Source organism: Homo sapiens, chromosome 8, assembly GCF_000001405.40.
Source record: "Homo sapiens chromosome 8, GRCh38.p14 Primary Assembly".
Classification (NCBI taxonomy): domain Eukaryota; kingdom Metazoa; phylum Chordata; class Mammalia; order Primates; family Hominidae; genus Homo; species Homo sapiens.
In genome coordinates this window covers 94,702,065-94,712,220 of record NC_000008.11, presented here as the reverse complement: position 1 = coordinate 94,712,220, position 10,156 = coordinate 94,702,065, and the positions used below count along the sequence as shown (strand labels likewise).

General features: G+C 41.2%; 1 protein-coding gene across 6 annotated transcripts in view; it reads right to left on the bottom strand.

Annotated features, from left to right (window-relative positions):
* Positions 1–4,754: 4,754 nt before the first annotated feature.
* ESRP1 (epithelial splicing regulatory protein 1) overlaps positions 4,755–10,156 on the bottom strand; it is a 66,293-nt gene continuing 60,891 nt past the window's right edge. For all 6 annotated transcript variants that reach the window (NM_017697.4, XM_005250991.4, NM_001122825.2 and 3 more), the window contains one exon: positions 4,755–6,296. Coding sequence is in view for 4 of the 6 variants with exons in the window: in XM_005250991.4 (XP_005251048.1) it covers positions 6,276–6,296 (21 nt within the window). In the remaining 2 variants the exon portion in view is untranslated. The remainder of the gene's footprint in view (positions 6,297–10,156) is intronic.

The window sequence follows — 10,156 nt, the reverse complement described above, 5'->3', positions numbered from 1 at the left end:
GGTCTTGAACTCCTGACATCAAGTGATCCTCCTGCCTCGGCCTCCCAAAGTGCTGGGATTACAGGGATGAGCCACCGCGTCTGCCCAGGAAGATAAGATTTCTAAGTGGGCAACAGTTAAGAGAGAGATAGCAGAAAAAAATGTTTCAGGTAGAGGAAACAGACAAAGGTGTATCACTCCCACACAAACAATTGGAAAATGTATCACAGAATATAGAGCATGAGGGGAAAAAGTGCCTTGCAAGAAAGCAACAGAGGAAGGCTGGAATCAGCTTATGCAATGTCATGCAGGATGTACATGAATGGCTTTTTCCCACAGCAAATGGGAAGCTATTAAAAGGTTCCAAGAGCACATGATCAGATCTGTGTTTTTAATTTTAAAAATTATTTAAAACATACTTCCAATAGACAGGAACAAAATTTGATGCATGGAGTTCAATATTAAGGCAAAACATGGGTGAGATATTATTGTCTAGGATGATGAAGGAGAGGAGGTTAAGAATGACCTCCTGGGCTGGGTGCCGTGGCTCACGCTTGTAATCCTAGCACTTTGGGAGGCAGAGAGGGGTGGATCACCTGAGGTAAGGAGTTCGAGACCAGCCTGGCCAACATGATGAAACCCCGTCTCTACTAAAAATACAATAACCAGCCGAGTGTGGTGGCAGGCGCCTGTAATCCCAGCTACTCAGGAGGCTGAGGCAGGAGAATCGCTTGAACCCGGGAGGCAGAGGTTGCAGTGAGCTGAGGTAGCACCACTGCACTTCAGCCTGGGTGACAGAGCGAGACTCTGTCTCTAATAATAATAATAATAATAATAATAATAATAATAATAATAATAATAAAGAATGACCTCCTGGGCCAGGTGCAGTGGTTCATGCCTGTAATCCCAGCACTTTGGGAGGCTGAGGTGGATGAATCACCTATGGTCAGGAGTTTGAGACTAGTCTGGCCAACATGGTGAAACCCCGTCTCTACTAAAAATACAAAAATTAGCTAGACGTGGTGGCATGCACCTGTAATCCCAGCTACTCCGGAGGCTGAGGCAGGAGAATCACTTGAACCTGGTAGGCAGAGGGTGCAGTGAGCCGAGGTCGCGGCACCGTACTACAGCCTGGGCTACAGATGGAGACTCCGTCTCAAAAAAAAAAAAAAAAAAAAAAAGAATGATCTCCTTAAGACCTGGCAGTATATGGTGCTGGTTAGTGAAGTAAAAAGAACCCAGAAAGCAGCAGGATTTTGGATGTGGCAAGATAAGTTCCATTTTAAGCATGTTGGGTTTGAAATGCATGGGACACATCCAGATGGAAATGTCCATTACAGTGCTGGGTAGAGGAGTCTATAGATCCACAGAGGAGTGTGGTAATAAATGAATGAATTTGCCCAGAGAGAATGAATAGATGAAGATGACTGAGGATAGAACCATGATTAACACCAATCATGTAGGAAAGAATGAATCACAAAGGAGGCTGAGAACCAGAACAAGTTGAGTATTTTACATTGATCTTTAAAAATGTTTGTAGTATTGACTCTGCTAAGTTTCAAAAGGGTTTCAGTTATAAGACACTAGCTCAAATTCAAGTGTAAAACAAGCAGATTTATTATCCATGTATCAGCATTCACTTTTAGAATAGCAACAATATAAAGCAACTGCCAAATTAATGGCAAGCTGGATATAAAGTAAAAAGGCAGACCAAAGGAGCACTAGAAGCCCTACTCTGATGCTGTAAACAAATGAGCTGTATTTATGCAATGTTAGGAAAAGAGCCAGAGTAGATGAAGGAGCACCTAGGAGAGTACTAACTACATTGACCAGTCTTCAAGTCTACTTCTCTTCCAGATCCCTTCATTTTTTTTTTGTTGTTGTTGTTTTTGAGATGGAGTCTCACTCTCGTTGCCCAGGCTGGAGTGCAGTGGCATAATCTCAGCTCACTGCAACCTCTGCCTCCCGGGTTCAAGAGATTCTCCTGCCTCAGCCTCCCGAGTAGCTGGGATTACAGGTGTGTGCCGCCACGCCTGGCTAATTTTTATATTTTTGGTAGAGACAGGGTTTCACCATGTTGGTCAGGCTGGTCTCAAACTGCTGACCTCAGGTGATCCACCTGCCTCAGCCTCCCAAAGTGTTGGGATTACAGGCATGAGCCACTGCCTGTGTGGATGTTTGTCCCTTCCAGATGTCACGTTGAAATGTGATTCCCAATGTTGGAGGTAGGGCCTGGTGGGGGGTGATTGGATCATGGGAGCAGATGCCTCCTGAATGATTTAGTACCATCCCCTTGGTGATAAGTGAGTTCTCAGTTCATTTGAGATCTGGTTAAGAGTCTGGGGCTGGGCAAGGTGGCTCATGTCTGTAATCCCAGCACTTTCAGAGGCTGAGGTGGGAAGATCGCTGGAACTCAGAAGTTCAAGACCAGCCTGAGAAACATGGCAAAACCCGATCTCTTAAAAAAAAAAAAACAGAAAAAAAACCAACAACAACAACAACAAAAAAAACGGCTGGGTGCGGTGGCTCACGCCTGTAATCCCAGCACTTTGGGAGGCTGAGGCGGGTGGATCACCTGAGGTCGGGAGTTTGAGACCAGCCTGACCAACATGGAGAAACCCCGTCTCCACTAAAACTACAAAAAAAAAAATTAGCCAGGCATGGTGGCTCATGCCTGTAATTCCAGGTACTTGGGAGGCTGAGGCAGGAGAATCGCTTGAACCCAGGAGGCGGAGGTTGCGGTGAGCCGAGATTGTGCCATTGCACTCCAGCCTGGGCAACGAGTGAAACTCCTTCTCTAAATAAATAAATAAATAAATAAATAAATAAATAAATAAAGCTGGGATGGTGGCACGTGCCTGTAGTCTCCCAGCTACTTGGGATGCTGAGGTGGGAGAATCGTCTCAGCCTGGGAAATTGAGGCTACAGTGAGCCATGATTGCGCCACTGCACTTTTGCATGGGCAACAGAGCAACCTTTTCTAAAACAAACAAAACAAAAGGAATGCCACATAATAGCTACCATGGCAAAACTGGATGAGTCTGTAATGTTACCCAACATGCTGTTGGCATTGTTATAAACAAGGATAAGATTCTTGCCAATAGAATCAGTGTGTGTATTGAGCATATTAACCACTCTAAGAGCTGAGATAGCCTCCCGAAATGCATGAAGGAAAATGATCAGAAAAGGAAGCCAAAGAGAAAGGTACCGGGGTTCAACTGAAGCACTAGCCCACTCCACCCAGAGCAGCACACTGTGTGAGAACCAATGGAAAAAAGCCTGGGCTCCTGGAACCTATGAATTCATGGCATTATAGTAACAGATGTAAAAAAGTGGGACGTCGACTGGGCGCGGTGGCTCACGCCTGTAATCCCAGTACTTTGGGAGGCTGAGGTGGGCGGATCACAAGGTCAGGAGATCAAGACCATCCTGGCTAACATGGTGAAACCCCATCTCTACTAAAAATACAAAAAATTAGCCCGGCGTGGTGGCGGCTGCCTGTAGTCCCAGCTACTCGGAGGCTGAGGCAGGAGAATGGCATGAACCTGGGAGGCGAGCATGCAGCGAGCCGAGACCACGCCACTGCACTCCAGCCTGGGCGACAGAGCAAGACTCCATCTCAAAAAAAAAAAAAAAAAAAAAAAAAGTACATGGATGTTCATTCTGTCTACTTTTGTTTTCCTCGACAGCTGGAGAATGCAGGGAGAGGAAGAGTATACACATAAGAGGTGGAACTTTAAGGTTCTTCCACATATCCCAGTCCTCTTTTCCCTCATTCTCCCATCCTTCCTCATCACCCTTACTCCACTTCCTTCTGCCAATTTTCTTTTCTGCATGAAGAGAGCAGCTGTACCAGGTGCTGTACCAAGATGAATAACACTAGCTTTGCTCAGGCAACTTTGATTCTACTTAAGGTAGGTAACAGCCTGAAAAACATGAAATGCCTACCAGAGATATTAGAGCAAGGAAAACTTGGGTGAGGACTCCAGCTTATCTAGAGAACTTTACTATACGTGATGGCAAAGACCAAAAGTATTAATATAAAATGGCTTCATTCTTATAAGGTGATGTTGGCAAGGACTAGGGCTGAAAGACTTTCCTGGGTTAACTAAGCTACACTCAATGAATGCTTATGAAGAACATACTGGGTGAACAGAAATATAGACATTTGATGTAAATGTCATGAAAAGAAAAAAAGTGCTAGACATTGAGGGAAATAAAGGTACAGCATAATCCCTGCCCTTGGGGTTAGAATCTAATTTCAGAACTGAAACATACTAACAACAGAGTTTGCATGTCAAGTGATACTGATAATATATGTTGCTATAAAACGTTAGAAATTTTTTTTTTTGAGATGGAGTCTTGCTGTATCACCCAGGCCAGAGTGCAGTGGCATGATCTCGGCTCACTGCAACCTCTGCCTCCCGGGTTCAAGCGATTCTCCTGCCTCAGCCTCCCAAGTAGCTCGGACTACAGGCACCTACCACCGCACCTGGCTAATTTTTGTAGTTTTAGTAGAGATGGGGTGTCATCATCTTTGGCCAGGCTGGTCTTGAACTCCTGACCTCGTGATCCACCTGCCTCAGCCTCCCAAAGTGCTAGGATTACAGGTGTGAGCCACCATGCCAGGCCATCTTGAGTAGATTTATCACTGGTAGCTTTTATACATAAGTTTAGAGAAAAACCCTACCACCATCTTAGGAAGAGATGGCTTATCTATGTACTTCCATCAGTACAATTCTTCTAATAACAAAACAAAAAAAAAATCGCAAACATTGAGATTAAACAGGCAAGTTTTATTATCAAATGTTAACTCTACAAAAACTCAGTAGTATTGTAGTAAGCATTACTGCCTATCTTAAAGTCTTTCAGAGCTTTGGGCAGCTTTGGGCATCTTAAGGCATCAAGTATACAGAAATTTCTTTTCGATCTTAAGTGCCAGTTATCACCAATTTTCACACAAACCTTTTTTTTTTTCTTCCTATTGCAGTTAAAGGGCCATTGCCAGTCAGCTGAAGAAGGAAATGTTTGCTTCTCCCTTTAAGGTGTTAAAGTAATGCACAGAAAATAAAAATAGCAGCCTCATAAATCTGCACGGCATTGCATTCAAGCAAAGGACAATATGAGTAACTTAGAGAAATATCCACATTCAATGCACTTAATGAAATCCTGTTTTCTTTGGAGTTACATGAGGCAGCAGTACTAGCTAGTGTCTAATATTGCACTTTTATAGCATAAACACAGCTAAACATAGTGTTAAACACTGACAGCATCAGTACCTGTTCTAATTGCATCAGTGTTTACCTCTCAGTCTAGCATGCTGACTATAGTCCTATGCTTTAAAAGGTTATAATTATTTGACAGTTAAGGCATTAGAGGAAAAAGGTTTAAGGCTATCATAATATATATAAGCATTCACTTCTGTTCAGTTAGTGTATTGTTTTCTAGAATACACTGTTCAAATTGTCTCACTTCTGGGATATTAAAAACTATGGAATTTCTCTTATTAAAGTCCAAACCATCAATAATGAAAAAAGTACAATATAAAATAATACATATGAAGCCACAATATTCAATTACAGTTCAAACTAGAAATTACTAACTACATGTAGCTGCTTCATTTTTCGTTTTGCATTTTGGCCCCTAATTCATTATTTACAACTGATACCTGCTGAGAAAAAGATCCAAACTTTTAAACTTTGTATGTTTTGTGGAGGGTGCACAATTTCTTCTAATTTATCTTCAGGTGTTTTAAAATTTAATTTGTTTTTAATCATAAGATATCATCATGGCCAAGAGACTGGGAAAATAACAATTTTATTCTTTCTCCTAAGATTGTGATTTTATTATTCCAAGATCTTATGCTTGAATTACTTAGCAAGAAGGCATGATTATGCAGAAGACAGGGAAATGAAGAGAAAAGAGCGGGAATATACAAAAATGAAGCTTCCTTAACAGAGTTCATGGTGGAGATGGTAGACACTGGTGGAGTTTTTATCCAAGACTTAAAACTTAGGAAACACCTATGATGCCACTTTAACTGGAAGTAATGGAGACATCTGATTCCAAATTCACATTTTAAATGCCTATTTGCAATCAGCAAAGAGCCAGGTATGCTGCATGCTGCTTGCTGTAAGTTACGATTTGGCTTCACTAGCTCAAATTTTTTCACTCCACCAAAAGATAAGGCACAGGCCCGTTTGTCCAATCAAGTTTGCTGAAAATACTGCAGCCTGAGTGTAGACAAACTTCCCCTGAATTTGCTAGAAGTTTTCTTGTGTCTGGAGGTTTCAAGATCACCATACATCTTTCAAACACTGAAAAAAAAAAAAAAAAAAGTGAATAAAAGGAAATGTTATAGTCTCTAAATGTCATTCTCAGCAGCCACAAAAATGATTTCAAATTCCACAAGGACTTTGTGGAAAAAAAGCCTTAAGATGGTCCAAGTTATTATTTCACACAGACATAGTTGGCATTTACATGGCAAGGGCTTTGGGAGTACAGCACTAGCCAAGGAAGTTTCCATGGTTTACACAGTAGTTGGCGTTCTGCACCACTCCTACCCTTTGTAGTATCATGTGTTTAGTTTAACATGTATGGTTTCCGACTCCCTGCTCAGCTCAGCTCCTTTCTGGAGAGACTATTTCATTCATTCCTTAGAGGTTCAATATCATTACCAAAATAAACAAAACAATTTAGACAAAATTTTAAAGTTAAATTCTAGTATAAGAAATTCCAAATAATTTCTAAGACACTTAATAAGAAGCAATAAGGAGCCGGGCATGGTGGCTCATGCCTGTAATCCCAGCACTTTGGGAGGCTGAGGCAGGCAGATCACATGAAGTCAGGAGTCTGAGATCAGCCTGGCCAACATGGTGAAACCCCATCTCTACTAAAAATACAAAAATTAGCTGGGCGTAGTGGTGTGTGCCTATATTCCCAGCTATGTGGGAGGCTGAGGCAGGAGAATTGCTTTAACCTGGGAGGTGGAGGTTACAGTGAGCCAAGGTCATGCCATTGCACTCCAGCCTGGGCAACAGAGGGAGACTCTGTCTCAAAAAAAAAAAAAAAAAAAAAAAAAAAAAGCAATAAGGCATGACATAACAGCAAACATATGGGCTCTATATGCCTGTGACTAGTTGATGATTAGCACCTTTATATGGATCATGGATAAATTTATTTCATCCCCACATACAACCTTTTAGATTACCTTGTTATCCCCATTTTAGAGAAGGAAAAACTGAAGCACAGAATGATTAAGTTAGTAATGGGCAGATGCAGGATTTAAACTAATACAGATTGGTTCCACTATGTTATTTTACTTATATACCATACAACCTTAAAATAAGAACTTTTAGTAGGCATTATATATTGTTTTGAAACAGGGTCTAGCTCCATCACCCAGGATGGAGTATGGAGTGATATGATCCAATCATAGCTCACTGCAGTTTTTTTTTTTTTTTTTTTTTTTTTTTCAAAAAGAGATGGTGCCTTGCATTGTCACCCAGGCTGGAGTACAGTGGTGAGATCAGAGCTCGTTGCTGCCCCAAATTCCTGGGCTCAAGGTATCCTCCACCTCGGCCTCCTGAACAGCTGGGACTACAGGCACACCACTATATCCAGCTAATTTTCAAATTGTTTGTAAAGACAGATTCTCACCATCCTGACCAGTCTGGTCTCAAACTCCAGGCCTCGAGCAATCCTCCTGCCTTGACCTCTCAAAGTGCTGAGATTACAAGTGTGAGTCACAACACCTGGCCCTAGGCTAAATAAAAGAGATATATATATATTTTAGAGATGGGGTCTCCCTATGTCGTCCAGGCTAGTCTCAAACTCAGCCTCAAGTGTTCCTCTTGCCTGGCATTCTAAAGTACTGTAAAGTGCTGAGATTACATGTGTGAGCCACCACACATGGCCATTATGCATACTTTGACATGTAAATGAAAAACAGGAATGTTTTAGACTTCAGTCTTATTTCATATGGCCAGTATGAAATGTCTAATGGAGTTTTACTGCTTAACAATGAAACTGAAGACTCCTAACTGCTAGCAAAAAAAAAAAAAAAAGTCTCAGAAGCACATGAAGATTAATTTATTTCAAGATTAAATCTGCCTTAATAACATAGATTCTACAAATGGTACAAATCTAATATCAGGTATTTAAAAAACATGGAAATATTGGTTAGGATGCATCTTTTAAATGTGGTTTCCAAAGTGACCACAATTTGGCACTCAGTTTAAAATACCACATGCTGAAAGGCTTCTCCTTTGACACTAAATTCAGATAAGAAAATCAATGACCCAACACTATTGATCAGTATCTATTTTACCCCTCTTTTGGCAGTAGCACCTGAATTGAAAACAACTGCCCCATCACCTAATCTCAAGCCCCTAAGAGGCAGTTTTACCACTGAGCCAAACAAGGGGCCCAGACATGGCCAGTTAGAGCCCTGCATATCCCAGGTCATTGTGGTTTTAGGATGAACGTAAGCCAGGCCAGTGAAGGCCAAGTGTTGCTAGGGGTATCTCAGAGAGTGAGTTTGGATGAGCAAACCCTTGGATCCAGCTACATCAGTCAACCCTGGGACTGTCAGTTATTAGAGTCAGTGAGTACCAACTTCTTCATTCCTATCACATTTATACTAGGAAATAGCATCTTTGTAGATGCTGAAAATTAAGCCTTCATATTCTGATAAAATGTGGAAATGCCAGGAAAAGTTAAAGTTAAACGTTTAGCCTTCTCGAACCGTTTTTTAATGCCAGTGGAGTTTGACTGTGTAACAATGAAACTGAGGCCAGGAGCGATGGTTTATGCCTGTAATCCCAGCACTTTGGGAAGGTGAGGCGGGCAGATCATGAGGTCGAGATGGAGACCATCCTGGCCAACATGGTGAAACCCTGTCTCTACTAAAAATAATAAATAAGCTGGGAGTAGCGGTGTGTGCTTGTAGTCCCAGCTACTCGGGAGGCTGAGGCAGGAGAATCGCTTGAACCCGGGAGGTGGAGGTTGCAGTGAGCCGAGATTGCGCCACTGTACTTCAGCCTGGGGATAGAGCAAGACTCTGTCTCAACAACAACAACAACAACAAAAAGAAACTGCAGACTCCTAACTGCTAGCAAAAAAAAAAAAAAAACAATCAATCTCAGAAGGAGATAATGTTTCCTCTTCCCGTTTAGCTATAGCAAACAAAGTTGAGAATTACAACTGCAGACATTTACAAATCTGATTTCCCTTTCAAATAAGATCTGTGTTAAAACATGTTTTTATTTTGTAATACACTGTCATTAAAGTATTACATACAAAGAAGTCTTTAAAGATATCTGGATTTCACCACTGGTGCTATATGCTACAGAATGAACCTATAATCCCTTAAAAACCCTGCAATTCTACAGCCAGGCATGGTGGAGAACACCTATAATCTCAGCTACCAGGGAGGCTAAGGTAAAAGGCTCACTTGAAGGCTGGGCGTGGCGGCTCACACCTATAATCCCAGCACTTTGGGAGGCCGAGGCAGGCGGATCACGAGGTCAGGAGATTGAGACCATCCTGGCTAACATGGTGAAACCCCATCTCTACTAAAAATACAAAAAATTAGCTAGGCATGGTGGTGTGCGCCTGTAGTCCCAGCTACTCAGGAAACTATAAGTACTTCCTATGTGTTTTTACTGTTATTCTGGACTCAGATTATCTAAATGGAAAAAATAAGATCTTATAAAAAGTTTGTTCTTTTTAATCATCTTACACAAGAACTTGCAACATAAAGTTACAAAATGATCAAATACAGTTTTTATATTTTTTCATGTAATTAACTGGTAACCGTCCAGACAGAGGTAAATACTGTGTTATTTTTGCATAAAATTTCTCAGTAGGAATTTCTCATTATTTAGAAAGTTTATGTAATCTGAACTCTTTAGAACAGATCCTATGGAAGGCCTAGAAAACACACCTATCAAAAAAGCAAAGCCCTGTTGCTTAAGGCTGACAGTCCAATAACAAAAAAGGGAAAGATAACACTGATCTAAGTACTACACTCCAGCCTGGGTGACAGAGTGAGATTCCATCTCAGAAAAACACAAAAAAACCCTATGTCCCTATGATTATTATAATCATGACAGCAAAAGTTATGTATTAATATAAAACTTTAGTTTGTAAAACTTGTTTTCATTCATTAACTCTC